Source organism: Homo sapiens, chromosome 1 (assembly GCF_000001405.40).
Source record: "Homo sapiens chromosome 1, GRCh38.p14 Primary Assembly".
Classification (NCBI taxonomy): Eukaryota; Metazoa; Chordata; class Mammalia; order Primates; family Hominidae; genus Homo; species Homo sapiens.
The window spans coordinates 72660848-72680438 of NC_000001.11; the positions used below are offsets into that span (position 1 = coordinate 72660848).

The 19591-nt window shown below is 35.0% G+C and overlaps 1 long non-coding RNA gene across 4 annotated transcripts in view; it reads left to right on the forward strand.

Moving 5' to 3' along the window:
- Nucleotides 1-18577, forward strand: part of LOC105378797 (uncharacterized) — a 396491-nt gene extending 377914 nt beyond the window's left edge. For all 4 annotated transcript variants that reach the window (XR_001737670.2, XR_947505.3, XR_001737671.3 and 1 more), the window contains one exon: nucleotides 8048-18577. This is a non-coding gene — a long non-coding RNA (uncharacterized LOC105378797). The remainder of the gene's footprint in view (nucleotides 1-8047) is intronic.
- The last annotated feature ends 1014 nt before the right edge of the window (nucleotides 18578-19591 follow it).

Sequence of the window (19591 nt, forward strand, 5' to 3'; positions counted from 1 at the left end):
CATAGAATGGAGTTCCAAATGACTAAGTCTCATGTAGGACAAATAACATGAGAAGTTTATAAGCAATTGTTTGAGAAGTAAAACTAGTGTGGAGGCTAAAGAAAGCCCCTATAAATGTTTCTTTAGAAAGACCTGGATTTGTTAGCCTTTTTCTCTGGCCTCTCAGCTTCCTTGGATTTTGGGTATGTTTGCATAGACCTGCTCACAGTGAATACAAGTAAAATCTTGTTTACCAGAGAAATGAGACATTCCCTTGCTTTCACGTTATTATCCCTGAAGATACCTGTATATTTTCCCAATTGTAGGCACTTTGCTAAAAAGAGAAGAGGCTTTAACTTAGAATTTATGTGGATTCATAGTCAATGTTTAATATCTGTCAGAATGGAGCACATTTGGTGAAATAATTTGGGGTAGGTAGTTTCTGGATAGATTACTCTGAATAGACCAAGACCTGAATATTATTATTTCCCATGTAAAAATTGCCACTGTTGGTGATAGTCTTATACATAGAGGATGACTTACTGTTAATTTCAGTTGTGGTTCTTCCTCTAAGGGCCTCGTGCTTGACTAATGCATATATCATCAAAATGGTCATGGGGCAGGAATATAGACTATGGTAGGCTTAAAAAAATGGCATGTTACTCCACACAGATGACCTGAGTTATCTTTCTGAATTCTTAATTTGCTAAGAATATTCCCCAAATTAGCATTATAGCTCAAATTAACCACTATAGAATATTCTAGCAAACTGATTACATGGGATCCTTTGCATCGTAGGTGAGGGGCAGTAATTTGTTCTAAATGAAATAGACATTTATTCTGCATCTAGATTTGCTTTTCTCTTCCTCATGTTGTTTGTCAATGCTACCATCTATGGGCATATCAAAGGCTTTATGTGATGAACTCCTCAAGATCATCTTAGTACAAGGAATGTGCTACAAAGTAAAATAAATAATGATTTTATTGCCTGTAGAAGTCCTCTTCCTGACTGAGGTTGTGAACAAGTTAAAAAGCATGTAAGCTAAAACAACACTTAATTACCATTAGAGGTCAAATTGAAGATATAACTTTAGGTTGACTAAACAAATGAGCTTGCTAATACTGAATTCTACCCAGTCCAGGACACACAGAATTAGAGCAGGTGGAATGATCTGTCCACATATGATGTAAGGCATGGAAGAGCAAAAGAGAACTGTGATTTCTATAGGTACATTGACTCTCCAGAAACACAGATTTTGGCTGCACATAGATGGATATTACTCAAAATTTACAAAACTTCTCAAATATATTTCACTCCCAAAGGCAGTGAAGAGAATCCTAGAGTTGCATTAATTGATGACCTTTCATAGGAAGAAGCATCAGAAGTGCAGAAGAATATTTTTTACTACCATTTGTTACTAATATATGAAACTTCATCTTCCATATCAAAACTATGTTGATCAAAATTTAATAGACTGCTCCAATTACTGTAGGGAGAAGTTATTCAGAGGGCTAGTGTGGAGCAGGGAGAAAAGTAATTTACAGATGGGGTGATGATGGCTTTGAGAAAGCTAGTGTAAGCAGACAGAGAGAGAAAAAAATGGTTCCATTTGGGATATATTTTAGAAATAGGATCAACAGAACTCAGTGATGTGGAAGAAAGATACCAAGAAGGACTTCTAATGTAGTAGTACTAGGAGGATGAAAGTGACTTTTATTAATAAAGTCTCAGGAGAGCACATTTGTGGTAGAATATTAAGAATTTGCCTTTGGTCATTATAATTTTAAGATATCTAAGACAACTTCAAGAAGACTCACATTCTGAAGCTCAGAAAAGAAATCATATGAGGGGTCATAGTTCATGGAAATGTGCATTATGGAAAAAGTATGAATGAAGTTCCAATTTTTTTGCATCACGATTAACTTGTAATAACTTGTCATAACATGTCTGAATAAGATCTAGTTTGAGGCACTCAAAAGCATAAGATATCAGTTTTAAAGGAGCCCCTATTAGAGCAACATGAATTCTGCTAAAATTGAAGCAAGACAAACATGAAATTTGTAGTGAAGCTTGGGTAGAAGAATGGTGAAATCACTGATGCTTTATGAAAAGTTTATGCAGAAAATGCCTTAAAGCAACCTGAAACAATACAAGTGGATAACTCATTTTAAGAAAGGACTAGACAATATTGAATATGAAGCCCACAGCAGCAGGCCATCCACATCAATTTACAAGGAAAAAATTCATCTTTTTCATGACCTCACTGAAGAGGAATGATGATTAATAGCACAAACAATAACCAACACCATAGACATCTCAGTTTGTTCAGCTTACACTGTTCTGGCTGAAAAAATAAAGTCAAGCAAACTTTCCACTTAATGGGTACCAAAATCATTACACCCAGTTCAGCTGCAGACAAGAGCAGGGCTTTCAATGGAAATTTTAAACATGGGGGATCAAGATCCTGAACCATTTCTCCAAAAATTTGTAACAGAAGATGAAACACGGATTTGCCAGGCAATCCTGAAGACAAAGCACAATCAAAGCAATGGCTATCAAGAGGTGGAAGTGGTCCAGTCAAAGCAAAAGCAAAGGTCATGTCAACAGTTTTTTGGGGGATGCTCATAGCATTTTGCTTTTTGTGTTTCTGGAGGACAAAAGAAAGATAACATCTACTTATTGTGAGACTGTTTTGAGAAAGTTAACTAACACTCCAAAAGAAAAGTGCCTGGAAAAGCTTTACCAGAGAGTCCTTCTTTACCACAACAATGCTCATACTCATTTCTCTCATCAAACAAGGACAATTTTGTTAATATTTTGATAGAAAATCACCAGGCATCCACCTTACTGTCCTGGTTTGGCCCTCACTGACTTCTTTTTGTTTCCTAATCTTAAAAAATCTTTAAAGAGTACTCAATTTTCTTCATTCAATAATATGAAAAGATTGCATTGACATGGTTAAATTCTCAGGAACCTTGGGTTTTTAAGGATGAACCGAATGGCTTGTATCATCACTTAGCTGTCTTAAGCCTGATGGAGCTTATGTTGAGAAAGTTTATATTATTTATTTACATTTTTTAATTCTATTTGCCAAGAACTTCTTGAAGTCTCCTCATACATTTGGGAGATGTGAGGATTGATATGGTTCTTAAATCTTGGAAATAGAATGGTTCCTTAAGTCAGAACATCCTGAGTGAGAGCAGAATTGGTCCTGGCACTGGTTCATGAGAACTGCTTCATTTATAATTTATGTTCTTGAGGTAATATTTATTTATTTCTGTTTTATATTTATTTTGTGAGTTTTGTCTTTCTATTTTTGTTTTTGAGACAAGGTCTCACGCTATCACTAGGCTGGAGTGCAGTGTTGTGATCATGGCTCACTGCAGCCTCGAACTCCTGGGCTCAAGCAATCCTCCCAGTTTGGCCTCAGGAACAGCTGGGACCACAGGCAGGTGCCAGCAAGCCCAGCTAATTTTTAAATTTTTTTGTAGAGACAGGGTCCCACTATGTTTCCCAGGTTAGCCTTCAACTCTTGAGCTCAAGTGATCCTCCCACCTCAGCCTCCCAAAGTGCTGGGATTATAGGTGTGAGCCACTGTACTTGGCCTATTTCATTTTAATATCAATTTATTTGAAACAAAAAAATAAAAGCTCTTATTTGAAAAATGTCAAACATTTATTTGGCCAATAAATATATTAGACTAAAACCCTTCAAGTCATCCTCTGGCCCTTTCCTTTCTATCACACACCATATTCAATCCATCATTCAATTCTGCCAAGTCTCCTGTCATCCTCATTTCAATGGCTTCACTGTCACCCTTGTCCAAACTACTATGACCTTTTCTCCAAGTAGAAATCAGAGAGAGTCTTTTAGAATAGAAGTAAAATCAAGTTACTCTTTTACTCAAAGTTCTCGAATGATCCCATCACACTTAGATAAAATCTAGATTCTTTTGGAAGCCTGAAAATTGGTGCTGCTCTTCCTGATTATGGCTCTAATTTCACCGCCTGTGACTTTCTTCATGGCTTGCTGCATTTCAGGCACACTGGCCTTACGAGTATTTCTCTAAGTCTGTTATTGCCTCTAGGCATTTATACTTGCAGTTACTTCTGTCCCTAAAGCTCATCCCTCACATATGCCCAAGGCTTACTCTTCATTCCTGTTTCTGCTCAAATAACAACTTCTTAGAGACCTTTTCCATCCACCCTATCTGTAACAGTGCTTGTTCTTCTCTCTCTACTATGTATACACTTACCAGGTTTTTATGTTTTCTATATTTCTTATTAACTAGTTCCATATTTACATGTTTATTTATCATCTCTTTCTCTCTTAGGAATATAAGCTTTGTGACATTAAGATTCTATTTTGATCACTCTTACTTTCAGTGCTAGTATGTGTCTAACACACAGTGGACATTCAAATATTTGTGCAGAAAAAACTATACGTATGTAAATGAATATATAGACTTTAATATTAAAGTCACTTATCTACTCAGTTAATAATTATTCATCATTTACCTACAATGTTTTCAAAATGAGTTATAAAACAGAAGATTTTCAACTTTCTTAAATCCAATGTGTGAATAACAACTCAAAACATTCTTATTGACAAATAATCTAGCGATTGCATTAATACTTCTCTCTAGTATTTCAGATGCTTGTCAAATCAACCTAGACAGATTTATTTTTAATTGTTAAGAGATGAACTTCTGGAAATATGTTTTCTATTTGTCACAGATGTGTCTACATGTAGTTAAACTTACAGTATTTACTATCTGTATTGGCCTGCACTTTCCTTTTGCACTAACAAGAATTTCTCCTTGACAGGGTTTTGCTCCATTGCATAATTCAGATGTTCATTAAAATACAGTGAGATTTTGCGGAATCCATTGAATACTACTTATGTTTTAATGAGCATTAATGAGCTTTGTGATTGTCCTGTGGAGCAAAACTCATATCTCATTAGGTGGATTCCCAAAATGCCTAAAGGTGAGCAGACATAGCTTTAGATATACAAGGTAATTTCATACTTAATTAGTTCCTTACTTGCCACACCACAGATACACATTCAGAACTATGGTTTGAAATGGCAAACTTGTTGTTTGCTGTGACAAGTCAATGAAATGGTAGAATTCATAGAAAGCCTTTGTAAGTATTTTAAGGCCATTCTCTATTATGTTAATAAATTGGCATGTTATGATTCAATTCACAGAAAATAGACAATAAGGAGAAAAAGTTAAATGATTCCAAACTTGAGTTGACATTGCTTGGTATTTTATACAGAATATGACGTTGTGAAATACTTACATTTATATGTTCAGATGTGGGTGGCAGGGAATTTACATATAGTATTTTCCTTCTAATAAAAACTCTGAAAGTTGGAACTGTTATTTTCACATTACGAATAAGAAAACTGATATATGAAGTGTTTAAGTTACTTGCTGTGTTAGTTTGCTAGGGCTGTAACAAAATACCACAGACTGTGTCTCATAAACAACAGAAATTTATTTTCTCAGTTCTAGAGGCTGGAAGTCCAAAATCAAGGTGACAGTAGGTTTCCTTGCTTTTGAGGTCCCTCTTCTTAGACTGCAGGTGGCTGCCTTTTCTCTATGTCCTCCTATGACCTTCTCTCAATGAGTGAACATCCCTGGTATATCCTCTTCTTCTTCTTCTTTTACGATAAGCTGTTGCTCTGTCTCCCAGGCTAGAGTGCAGTGGCATGATTCATGGCTTACTGTAGCCCTTACCTCCCGGGCTCAAACAATCCTCCCACCTCAGCTTCCCAAGTAGCTGGGACTACAGGCACATGCCACTATGCCTGGCTAATTTATTATTTTTGTAGAGATGAAGTCTCTCCATGTTGTCTAGGCTGGTCTCAAACTCCTGGGCTCAAGAAATCTTCCTCCCTCAGTCTCCTAAAGTGTTGGGATTACAGGCATTAGCCACAACCCCTGGCTTCTTCTTAGAAAGACACAAGTCCTATTGGATTAGGGTTCTATTCTGTGACCTCATTTACATTAAGTGACTCTTTGAAGGCCCTATCTCCAAATACAGTCACCCTCTATAAGACTAGCAGCTAAGGCTTCAACATACAAATTTTGAGGGAATGCAATTCAGTCTATAATACTTGTCAAAATTGTACTGGTAGTACATGGCAGATTTTGATTTGAACTCATCTCTCTCTGACTTCAAGGTCCAGGTTTCATTCTATATATTCTGTAGCATAAAATTGCATAGGATTTAGAGTAATGGATGTTATGCCATAAAAGACTGATATTGATATGTTTGAGGTATCAAAAAGTAGTTCATTGTGTCATTACCACAAATAAAAAACAATTTTGCTTTATCTAATGGTTTTTAAGTTTTCATTTACTTTGAATTTTTTCTTGTGTGTTATATTTTTAAAAACCTCAAACCAGAGCATACTGATAAATCCAAGTTGTTATACATAGATTATTTTTACTAAAGAAGATTAATCTTTCGTAATTATTGAAGATCATTGTTTTAGATTGGGTTATGTAATATGACTCCCAACACACATTTTCAAAGCTGATACTCTAGTTGCTATTATCTCTTGGAACAAATAAGAAGTAAAAAGTAGGAGTAAAATTCCTTTTATTTCAATGTTTAATGTAGCATGGCTGATAATATGGCAAACACATTTCTGTAGAAATGTGCTACTCTCTTGGGGTAGGCTAATGGTGCATCTGATCTGATAAAGTAGAAAGATAGCCTCTTGCACTTTGACCTGTAGATTCTGGCTGCATAGAGCCTGGATGTCATATTGTTGCACACACATGTGCTCTCACCTACTCACCAGATTAATAGTGAACATCAGTGAAATTTTTGGCAGAATTCAGAGAGTTATGAGTTTGAATAACAATTTTCCAATCAAATATGAGGTTATGCCTATGGAGTTTCTCTGAAAATTGAAAATGCCTTTTACGTTTTACTATTGCATAATAATTAAGATGGACATTTGGACTCAGACAGCTGTGAGTTTGAATACCTGTTCTGATGCTTACCACATTGTTTCCAGCTCAGCTACATAGCCTCCCTAAGCACTAGTCAATTCATATGAATAATGAGGAAAATATCTATTTGCCTAATAGGATATGATGATTAAATCATGGCTGGGTGTCGTGGCTCATGCCTGTAATCCCATCACTTTGTGAGACCGACGTGGGCAGATCAGGAGGTCAAGAGATCAAGACCATCTTGGCCAACATGGTGAAACCCTGTCTCTACTAAAAATACAAAAATTAGCTGGGCATGGTGGTGGGCGCCTATAGTCACAGTTACTTGGGAGGCTGAGGCAGGAGAATCGCTTGAACCTGGGAGGCGGAGGTTGCAGTGAGCTGAGATCACGCCACTGCACTCCAGCCTGAGCGACGGAGTGAGACACCATCTCAAAAAAAAAAAAAAAAAACCATATTGTGTTTTTATGTCACCCAATGTTGTATAAACATATTGAATTCCTGGCTTACTCAATGGTAAAGTAACTTAGCCTTTGTGACTATTTACAATTTAATTGTGTAGTGATTTATTTAAAGCTTATCTTTCCTTTTGATGTCAGTTCCATAGAATTGTAGAATATGTTGTATTTTTAAATCTTTGTATAGCTAATTCTTGATACATTGATATACAGAAGCCCCAATACATATCTATTGAACAAATGAATAAATTAATAAATTTAGTTTTATGATTTTAATGTTATGTTCAGTTATCTTTGTAAAATTCCAAATCAAATGACTTAGAAAAGGAACAAAAAGAAACTGGATGCATATTGAATACTGTAATCAGTATCACAGTATTCATTATATAAGCTAAAAATTTTGCTTCTCTTTAGGGTAGTCCCTATTCATTGCTGTATTCCCAGTTGCATCTGCCATAGAGTAGGTGACATAAAACTTTATTGAAATAATCCATTGGAACTGATTATGCATTTTTTGTACCAAACAAAAAAGATATTATTTTGAAAACTGATAAGCTAAAACATATAATATTTTGTTCAATTTATAAGTTCTTTTTGTACATGTTGATAGCTACATCTTTGTTATTTTTATAGGAAATATCTCAGATACAGCTTGGCTGAAGCAATAGAGAAAAAAATTCCTATGAAGTAGAGAGAGAGAAAAGAGAGGTGTTTTGTCAGTTGGTAATGTATATATGGTGTTTTGTTGTGTCATTTTCTAAGTTTCTGAATTCTGAGAACTTAGAAACTTATTTACAATAACCTGTTTTTCATCTTCAAGTGGATTTGTAAAAATGATGTAACAAAAAAAAGTCCAGTTTGTTATATTCCTCAATCATCACCAATATTTTATGCTCCCAAAGAAAATGGGAAAATGTCTTTTTCCATTACTAGATGTATATCCAGTGCCCACCATGACTAGGGAAAAAGAGAACTGGTTATATATGTATATGTATTTGGTGAATTGAAACAAATTATTCTGATGTGTGAAAATATCATTTTTTGTCTAAATATAAAATATTCCTATAATGGCAAAATTCCTGGGACAAATTTAGTCATTTTCCTGTACATAGATATTAATAGAAATTATATATTTATAAAAACAGATAAATTCCTCGGTAAGTTTAATTCAACTTTATAATATTAGATGTTAAATTATAGAACACATGAAAAAGCTTTTTCTATGAAATTAGATAATGTTAAGATGACTTGGGAATATTGTCATTTCAGAGTTTCTTTATACTTGATAGATTTCCTCAAATACGAAAGTAATATTTCTTTGCCACAAGTTACCCTTTCCCTTCAGAAAAAAATAGAAAACAAATATGTATCTACTTATTTCATATACATATATACTTATGTGCTACAAAAATGTCACTTACATGTACATACATCTCTATGTTTTAGGACTTTCTCAGTTCACCTAAGGATGGGGTCCTTGTCACATGGCCATGAAAGATTAGTCTCACAGACACTTTGAAGGGTGAGAAAAATGGAATTTATTGGGGGAAAAGGAAAAAAAAGGGAAACAGGAACTCTCAGCAAAGCAAGAGTCCTGCTAGTTGGTTTTCCCACCTCATAGCTTGAATCCCAGATACTACACTGGATCAGGAGAGGCCAGGCTCTCCCTCCCCAACCCTCCCCCGACAAAGGGTGCAAACTTTCATGGCTCCACCCCATTCTCCAAGTACACAGGCTGGTTGGACATTCTCCAGTGACCCCCTTATACTTGGCTGTCTCATCTACATGTAAACTTTATAATTAAACCTCTATAATTTACTCGAGATTATAATGTTTTCACCTCTGCACTGTGAGTACTATAAGACTAGAGATTACTACACTAATTATTCTTGTTCTTAAATAGTAAGATAATTACTGAAGCAATATTCTATTCAAAATGAAAATTGGATCCACCCCCAGCACACTTAAATTAGGTGTCTTTTTCTTTCATTTTGCAAAATGTTCTCCTTTTATGCTTTTCAAATGCATATAATAAAATTAGAAATAGAAGCTCCATTAACAGGAGAGTCCATGCTAGGTAAGAATGTCATCAATGTGGTTATTCTGCCTATGCTCCAATTCTAAATGTATTCCTGTACAAACGGTAGTTCTATTAGATACTGATTCTGCTGGTTTCACCTGGCCAAACAGACACAAATTAGCGGAGGACAATAAAAATAGCATCAGTTAAGTTGAAAGTCATTAACACTTATTCAAAATATTGGATGAAATTAAACCACAAAGGCAATTAATGTTTTGGTGAAAAAAATGTTTTTTTAAAAATTTAAGAGATTATTTTTCTGTACTAGGGGACAATTCAAACAATCCCAGGCTGAAATGAATACTACCTACTTAGGGCCCCATTGTATGCTGAATACATTTCAATAAAACACCTTTAACATTTTATTTCAACTCATTTTGCTTATGTCTCCATCTGTCCTTGAGGATAGCATTACATATTACTTTTTTGGTATCACTAGTTTCAGAAAAATCGTGGCACACAGAACCCATTCAACAAGTTTGTTGCATTAATAAATTAATCTGTGTTTTAAATGTAAGTTACTTGTTTCTGTCCCACACAAGTTAGCACATGATTATATGAGGCTTTTTAATTAATCAACATAATCAATATTGTCATCCAAAAAGATGAATCCCAAAATCTCAGTGGGGATTCTCAGTGAAGAATCCTACACTCATGCACACACATATGTATTATATGCTTAAGCTACCGTCTCATTGTATTGAACACCCCTCTGCCACGTCTTTCAGTAAAGCCATTTAAGGTATTTGGTCCCAAGGGAAGAGAGAGACAAAGAAGAGCCACAGGGGCTCCTAAACTGCCTTTAATTACTTCAGTTCATGTTTCATTGGGAAGTACCAATCATAGAATGTCAATCTCACTGCAAGGGAGGTTAGGAATTATAGAGCACTGAAGTAATATTCAGTGACCACACATTTTCTCTGGCACAGTCTTTTTCTATAATGGTTTCAGAAATGTCTTTGCAGAGAGATTACAAGCATCAAGGGCAAAATACAGCACCTCATTTTATATATTTCTTAGTATAAGAGAATAGTAAGAGATATGTGGTAGGTACTCAACTTGCTGATATTTTGAAATTTATTTTTTGGAAAGTGTTATTCATTTTCCAAACTGTAGTGGTCACTAGATAAATATCTACTTGTGTTTATCTTTCCTGAAAAAAATAAGCTGGGATATTAGAAGTTTCAAAATGGTTGATATTATAACAACTATGGTGTTTCTTGAGGAGAAGGGAGGGGTTGTTAAGATGTGGTTAAGATGTGTGCACATAATCATCTGAAGTGATTTTCCAAATGTAAGTGCTAGGGTTCTGAAAGTAATTCGTTTGAGGTGTGCCACAGGAGAATCTTTTCCTGAAGAAAAGTTCTAACTATTGCTCAAACAACTTTTGTCTAAGAATAACTAGTAAGCCTAGTACATTTTGCAGAATTAAACTGCTTCATAGTTTGGGAATTGCATTGACAGAACTACCAAGCTTTTGGAACACAGAAAATCATGGAAAGAAATACAACTCTCATCAACTTATTTATGTGAAAGGCTATTTTTGATATATTTTTTATGCTTCAGGTGAATTATAATTTTGCTGTCTCTATTTGGATATTTAACAATGAAACAACTGTATTACTGTGTTCACTCTTTCAGGACATTTCTGAGAAGCAACATTGATTTATTTTCCACATAATGTTTAGGATTATGTGCCAGAGAATATGAGCTGAGTTCATTCCTGGACATAGAACTTTAACATGTATGCCAGACTCTCTTTTGGTTAGTTATGAACATATTAAGTTGCAATGAATGTGATGAAGGAAATAATGAATGCCACCTTTAGATCTTGCTCACAAACCAACCAACCAGCAAACACACCCAGGCTTCTTGAGTCATGGATTTGGAGAGATTCTCACCAAAAATGCTTGCATTGTTCTCGTATGTGAATAAGAAGGTAACTTTTATGGTCTCATGTCCTTAAGACTTTGAATTATTTTGCTATCATTAATATTAGTTATTATCTTAACTAATTTATTATTTTTATATTATTTAGGTGATTATTAATAAATCTTATTAGTCTCAAACCGTGTCACTTAAAATCATATGTTTATTCCTTCAAATAGCTTTCTCAGAGGCTTTCTGGCATTAAATTTTATTAGGTTTCCATTTCTAAATTTTTCTTGGGAACATTCTAGTATCTGAGTGCGTGTTACCAAAATGACATTATATTTTTAGTTACAAATGCTATCTCAGTTTATATTTCTGGGGAACACATATATATTTATCCCCACACAATACACACGCACACGCATACACACACAAACACACATGTACACACATGCACACTTGCACAAAACTGATTCTGTTGTTCATCACATAATTAATTATAAAATGAATTGAAGATACTGTACTGCTTGTGCACGAGTCGATATGTAAGCACTTATATCAAACATCAATTCTTACACTTTTAAATGGAACATACATGTCAAATAAAATCCACATAAATCTTATGTTCCTAATGGTTGTGGCATAACTGAGATAGACTGTGGGTTATGCACATTTCTATAGCTGTAATTCCATCCATTTGCCTTCCTTTCAAGAAAGCATATAAGTCAGCCTGACAGACCAATGGCCTCTGAAATGTTCTAATCCAATAAATCACTCATTTTTACATTTTTAAGTATATTACTCAAAAGTTTAGTTATCTTAATAACCAATGATTAATAATCAATTACTTACAGCACTTTTTGCAATGAGTCTCATAAGAGGCCTGTTCCTGACTGAGCCTTGGTTCCAGTCATGGTTCTTCCCTCCACTAGCAAATATGGCCTATGGACCTCAGTTTTCTCAACTACAAAATATTAATAATTTCAGAGATAATCTACATAATTTACTTTTTGTAACGTCTGCCTCATAGTAACCATTTAGAAAGCATTAGCTGTTGTAACAGTCAGGGATCAGTAGCAGGTAATAAAAAGCAATAGAAATATTATAAGCAGGAGCATATTTAATACAAGAGATTAGGTGCTTACAAAATTTCATGAAGGATTGGGAGAGCATGCTCAAATCTTGCAGAGCCACAACTCAAACTAATACATCAAGGTTGCTACTCACACTATGCAGCCAGGAAGGTGTGGAGTCAGGAAGCCAATACTGCATCAGATAAGTCACAAGATCAAAGGACAGTTACAGCAATTGAAGGACCTGAAGACATTACTACCCTTCAGCTGTTATGAAATGAATCATTGGACATTCCAGAAAAACTCCAGGTCTCTACCAATCTTCTTTCAAACAGCACAAGCCAAAGTAACGAGGAGCAACCCCATCTAACTCCTCATTTCCAAATCTTATACAAGTGTTTTCCAAGTCACTCTTGGTTTCCATATCTTTCTTTACTAGAGAAGTCACTATTTCTTATCCTGAGTTAAAGCAAAGGAAATTAGGTTTGCAAAAAGACCAAATATATAGCAAAAGAGGACACCAGGTTAACCTAATAGAGACATAAGCCTGACAGGCACTCACATTTGAGAGGAAACTGAATTTGCATTTAGATTCCTAGATGTAAGGGTTTGAGAAATTTAGTGATTTGTTTTCCATCATCAGTAACCCAACAATATTTGTTGGAATACATGAGTGTGGAATCACAGCTATTGTAGTTATCATCAGTGTAGACACTGGTGCTCCATGCTGTTTTCTGAAGGCTGTATCACCCCCATCATGTGCAGTATTCTCATTAATAAACCACAGCCATGCCATGTAAGATAGCCTGCTAGCTCTTTGAGGATACAAGCGTACCGAACATACAGTATTTGCCCTTAAAGGATATATAATGATGTGATTTATAAAACAGATCTAAACAAAAATCTAAAACAAATTTTACCAAATTTTAAGCTAAATGTTTGCGTAAAAGACCATTATGCCTATCAATGGGCATCTTTTCAAAGAAAACTTGCTTAGATATTAGCCTGATTCCTCCAACAGCTCTGGTTACCTTAAGTAGGATTTTACTGCTTAACATTGGGCAGTTGCTTTTAATGTCTGATAAGAGATAAATTTGAAGTTTATTGCTTGTGATTACAACTTTTAAATAATAGCATTAATAACTGTCAGTATTAAATGCAGCAACTGCCATTAATGAATGCCATAGGGACAGAAGGCTTGTGAATAACACTTTTAAAACCCTCCTATATTTAATTTTTTTCCAAGTCACTCTTGGTTTCCATATCTTTCTTACTAGAGAAGTCACTATTTCTTATCCTGAGATAAAGCAAAGGAAATTAGGCTTGCAAAATGACCAAATATATAGCAAAAGAGGACACCAAGTTAACCTAATAGAGACATAAGCCTGACAGGCACTCATATTTGAGAGGATTTCTCTGCTGTAGGTCAATGTGCACAAATATCATTATACAGAATGGGAATTAGCTATCGCACTGAAGAAAGAGTAGCTTTATTTCTAGGTGGATTATTTTTCTATATAGAAAAACACATTTCTTTGTTTGATAGACATCACTATTACCACTATGATATAATCACAGTCATATCTGTGCACACAACAGAAAGATTATGTCCCTGCATTGCAGGATGAATTTGTGAATTTTTTCATGATAAGCAAGGGCCTAGATATGCAATATCTCTCTAACAATAGAACCAATGATTTTTGCAAACACAGTGATGTTGGTAAGCATAAAGGCCAGAGAGTAGAGAGCATAAGAAGGTAGTTGCTATTTCCTTCATTTTGTTGTTGTTGTTGAAAATATCCAACTGGCGCTAGAGGTAAAAGTGTAAATAACATTAGTTTATCATGGTCTCTTTAGGACTGACAAGTAAATTTGTATTAATAAAGCAATGTGCACTAATTAAATTTTGTTTAAAGGCACAGAGATAAATAATAATACATTTGACTAGGGGATATAAGACCTATGACAGAAGACATTGTAATAACTTTCAAATACAAATATTAAACATCCCCAGGAGATAATGTAATCATCCTTCCAATGGAAAGACAAAGAAAACTTCATGAATGGGAACTAGAAGAAAGGTATCTGAAGGCCAAACAGAGAATTCTGAATAACGATAGTAGACTGAACCAGTAATTCATCTCTGCTACATCCCAAACACCTATTAAAATGAGGATTTTTTTAAAGAAATAAATTAAACATACGCTATCAGAAAAAAATAGGAAAAGAGACCATGGCAACAAAATTTTGTATGTTGGAAAGCAGATGGGTGGTTATAAATCACTTAGCCAAACCAAGAACACTCCATCTTAAGCTAGCAGAGTGGAAAGTTGAGAGGCAAGCCTGATTTATACTGGAGATGCCCTAAAAGATGAAAAATCTATCTGCACAAGATACTTTTGAAAAGAGGATAAAGATGGAGCTAAAATCAGAAGAAATGGTAGGAAGTCAGAGAGTCACTTAGGACCTAAAATCTCTTGATCTCTTCAGAGATAAAGATGACAAATATCTGAGGAAACCATCCACTTCAAAAAATCCTAATAAATAAGAAAAGGAATATCATCAGATGCACCAGACAGTCAAATGTGGACAATGGTTTTTGAATAAGCATAATACACATGCAAAGAGTCAAGGAAAGTTATTAAAGAAAAACAAGTAATAAAAGAGATCAATTATACAATTTAAGTATGAAAACATACAAGTTTACATTTAAAAAATGAAAATATTTTGGAAAAATAACATAATGAATTCATGAATTTTAAGATCAATTTGAGTAATTCTCCAAGAAGAAAGCAGGGAGGAATAAAGAAGTAAGTAAATAATTTTAAAAGTTGAAAGATATGAAAGGTAGAAAGCACCATCAGGTGTCCCAATGAAGGGAAAATGTTAAAATGTAAAGAATTAATTCTTTAAAGAAATAATAGAGATAAACTTATCAGAATGAAAAGAAGATGAAATACATCAGACTGAAAGGATGCCCAGAGAACTATTTAAAAAACAGAAAAAATTCTTAGCATTTTTAGAGAAAAAGAGGATATAACTTACAAAATAATTAGTATTTAACAGCAGATGCGTCAAGAGCAATATTTAGATACAAGAAACAAAGGAGTAGACTTTTTAACATATTGAAGAAAAATAACTGAGTCTAGCTTTTATAACTATCAAAAAACACCAAAACAGCAGTCCCATAATATTCTTGGCTTAAAATACCTCAGAAGCTTAGCCACAGAGAAATCCCACAATAAAGCTTTTGAAAACTGTACTCTGCCAGGCATGGTCTTCACTCCTGTAATCCTAGCACTTTGAGAGGCCAAAGTGTGAGGATTGCTTGAGCCCAAAGTTCAAGATCATCAGCCTGGGCAACATAGTGAGACCTCATCTCTGCAAAAATATCAAAAATTAGCTGGGTATGGTGGTGCATGCCTGTAGAATCCCAGCTACTCGGGAGGCTGAGGCACAACAATCACTTGAGCCTGGGAAGGCAAGGTTGCAGTGAGCCATGATTGCACCACTGCATTCAGCCTGGCCAACAGACTGAGACCTTGTCTCAATAATAATAATAATAATAATAATAATAATAATGATAATAGAAAATTACTTAAAAAATACAAAAGACGTGTAAGATACATGTGAGTTAAATATAATAAAATATCTTTAAAAATTTGTTATTGTCCGCAAAAAGAGTCACACTCTGTATAATATTTGAAGAGATTAATTCTGAGCCAAATATGATGACCAGTGACCTCTGACACAACCCCAGGAGGTCCTAAGAATATGTTGCCAAGGTGCTTGGGCTACAGCTTGGTTTTATACATTTTAGAAGACATAAGATATCAATCAGTACCCATAAGGTGTACATTGGTTCCATCCAGAAAGTGGGACAACTGGAAGCAAGGGGGCAGGGCGTTCCAGGTCATAGGTGGATTCAAAGATTTTCTAATTAGTAATTGGTTGAAATAGTTATTATTTGAAGACATAGAATCAATAGAAGAGAATATCTGAGTTAAGACTGGGGATTGTGGAGACCCAGGTTCTTATTATGCAGATGAAGCCTCCAGAAAGCAGGCTTCAGAGACAATAGATTGTAAATGTTTCTTATCAGACATAAAAAAGGTGCCAGACTCTTATTAATTATCTCCTGGCTCAGGGAAAACACCTGGAAAGGGAAGGGGATTCTGTACAGAATGTAGATTTTACCCACAAGAGACAGCTTTACAAGGCTACTTCAAAATATGTCAAAAATATATTTTGGGATAAAATAATTCCATTTTATTCAGGGCCTGCTATATGTCATGTGATGCTATGCTAGAGTCAGGTTGGAATTTGGTTTCTTATTGCTACAAAGAGTCTGTTTCTTGGTCTTCTCTGTTTTAATGTTAATGTTAATACTGGTCAGTTGTGCATAAATTTCAGTGGGAGGAGGGTATAATGAGGCATTTCTGACCTTTCCTTCCTATCATGGCCTGAACTAGATTTCAGGTTAACTGTGGAAAGCCCTAGGCTAAAAGGAGTGGTCCATTCAGTTGGTTAGGGGGCTTAGAATTTTATTTTTGGTCTACATTATCTAAAACAAAAAAAAGAAGCAAACAGGCCTTTCATTTTAGAAAAACAAAACATTTACAAAAGGGAAAAATTAATGTATGTACTACACATGATAGCCCCGAATTAAAATTCCACCCCATATCAATGTGATGGGAGTTGTGCAGAGGAAAATCAATCTGGACAGAAGGTGTTAAGGAGAAGAAGTAGACAGTAACTACAATGTATACATATATAACATATATTTGACATTTTGTTTCCATCTATCTGATTGAAAATGGCAAACTGAAATAGAAATTTAAATTAAAAGTTGATTATTAAGAATTTACAAAACGAAATGATGTAAAGAATTTCAAATGGTTAAACTTTCAAAATATGTATTTTAAAAAAATTTGTAGCATCTGCTTCTGAAGTTAACTCTGTAAATCTGTCTTAAGACTTTTAGAGACATACTGTTTTATGTACGTGTGTGTGTGTATGCAAAATGATCTGAGTGATCTCAGTGAAACTGAAGAAGAAAATATAGATGGAAAAGACAATTGAGGGCCTATGGGCAAAACTGAGACAGTACAGGGAAGAGATTCAGTCCTGGTAGACAAGAGACATGGTGATTGAGATCCTAGTGGTCTTCACATGTCTGGGCATATTTCCTCCCCCACCTTCTTGCCTCCCTTAACAAGTTGACCCAATTCATGTAGCAGAAAGCTGCCCCCTTCCAACATAGCTGACCAAGATGAATTCCCAACCATAAAAGGAAAAATCGAACTATCTATTAATCTTCTTAAGTTACTTCTTCCAAGATTGCTGAAGCGGGAATGTGGCATTCCTGATTAAAAACCTGAGCAGATCTAGCTAGCTAAAGACAAGATGGACTCCAGTGCTAACTTTTCACTGAGTTTTTCCCTCATTATAATTTCATTATAATACTAGAAATCACAGACCCAGGGGTGGAGATTTAGCATACTAATGAATCACACAGGCTTGAAGAAACATGTTATCAAATTAAGTAGGTGCTAAACGTTCCCCACCTCTACGTGTCTACATGTCACACCATTTCTCACCTCAGCTCCCTTAAAATGACAAGAGCCAAGCCCTTGAGAGAGCTACTCCCTTGCTTTTCTCGAGCTGCAAGCCTATTAAACCTTGCCTAAGAAAAATTTCCATTTGGCCTGGTGTTAATTTCTATTTACCCAAGAGCCAAGAACTCCGAGTCTAAGCTGCAGCAACAAAACCAATTATAGAAATAAATATAAATGGATATTTTAATGTCAGATACATATACAACCACAACAAATACACATACTTGTACACATATGAATTATTTATGATCAAGCACAATGTAAACTTGTAAGTAAAGCCAAATATTTTAACTTTTCCTTTGCCTCTGTTGATATTCACTGAAATAGGGAAAATTATAAAGGTAGTACAATTCATATCAATTTGGAAATATAAGAAACAATCTTCTTAAGCAAATTCAGGTAGAACATGTTTCAAGGCTGCTTGTTAGTCTATGTATATGTGTAAATATGCATTTGTGTGTAAGAACATGTGTGTGTAGTTTTGCCCTCTATAAATATTAAAGTTCAGCATTCAAACCTCTGCTTTGGAGTTGTACGTTGCTCTTTGTAATAAATTAATTCGGTAAAGGGGCCTTAGCATGTGTTTAAAAACATTTTTAGGAAAAGCTAAAAACAAATACATAGTTTGAAAGAAAACATTTCCACTGTGCTTTTCAACTAGTCTACAACAGAATAGTTGAAAACAGCTTCTCACGACTTCCCTGGCTTCAAAAAGAACTTTCTCAGAATTCTCCTTTGTGTTTGAAAAAATAATGAATCAATCAATTAAAAACACCTCAAATGCAATCTATGAAATGTACTTCTCTATTCTGCAATCAGCAACACTGATCAATAATTGAGCTCTCTTTTCTTTTGGGCTTCATCAAAAACTATTTTTTCCATGAGAAAGAAAGGGAAGGAATAAAAAGAAATCCAAAATTACAGTGGAAAATATGTAACCTTTTTACAGCAGGAGGGAGGTTAACTGTGCAAACACGTTATTTAAAATGACTACGAGTTGGCTTTCATCTGCACCCATTGAATGAAGGGATGATTATTTACAAAGCAGTTTTGCCTCTGGCATGGACCTCTTTGGATGGCTGCTAAGGAAACCTGAGGAGGCTGTGACAGGCCCTTTATTAACAGCAAAATGATAATTTTCAAACAAGTGATCAATTCTGGAACAAAGGACAAGCATAGCATTTACTGATAATGCAATGCCCAGACCCTGGCCAGCATTATAAGGACAAGATCACAGGATGCATTTTATTTGCATATTATTTCATTAGCATTTACCTTGTCTAAGCAAATAGAGGCTACATATGGAGCCCAGAAGAAGTCACCACCCCTGCATGAAAGGTTTTTGACCTAATCTAGCCAAACTCAGGAACCAGTAAAAAGAGGAATACAAACACACACATCTTGTCTAAATTCCAATGGTGCAATTAACTTCTGCCTACATAAAATTGTTCATGCCACTCTCACTTGAGAAGTTATTTTTCCAGCTCCCTTCCTGAATGCTGTTGTGCTGTGGAGCTGCTGTCATATTCAACCC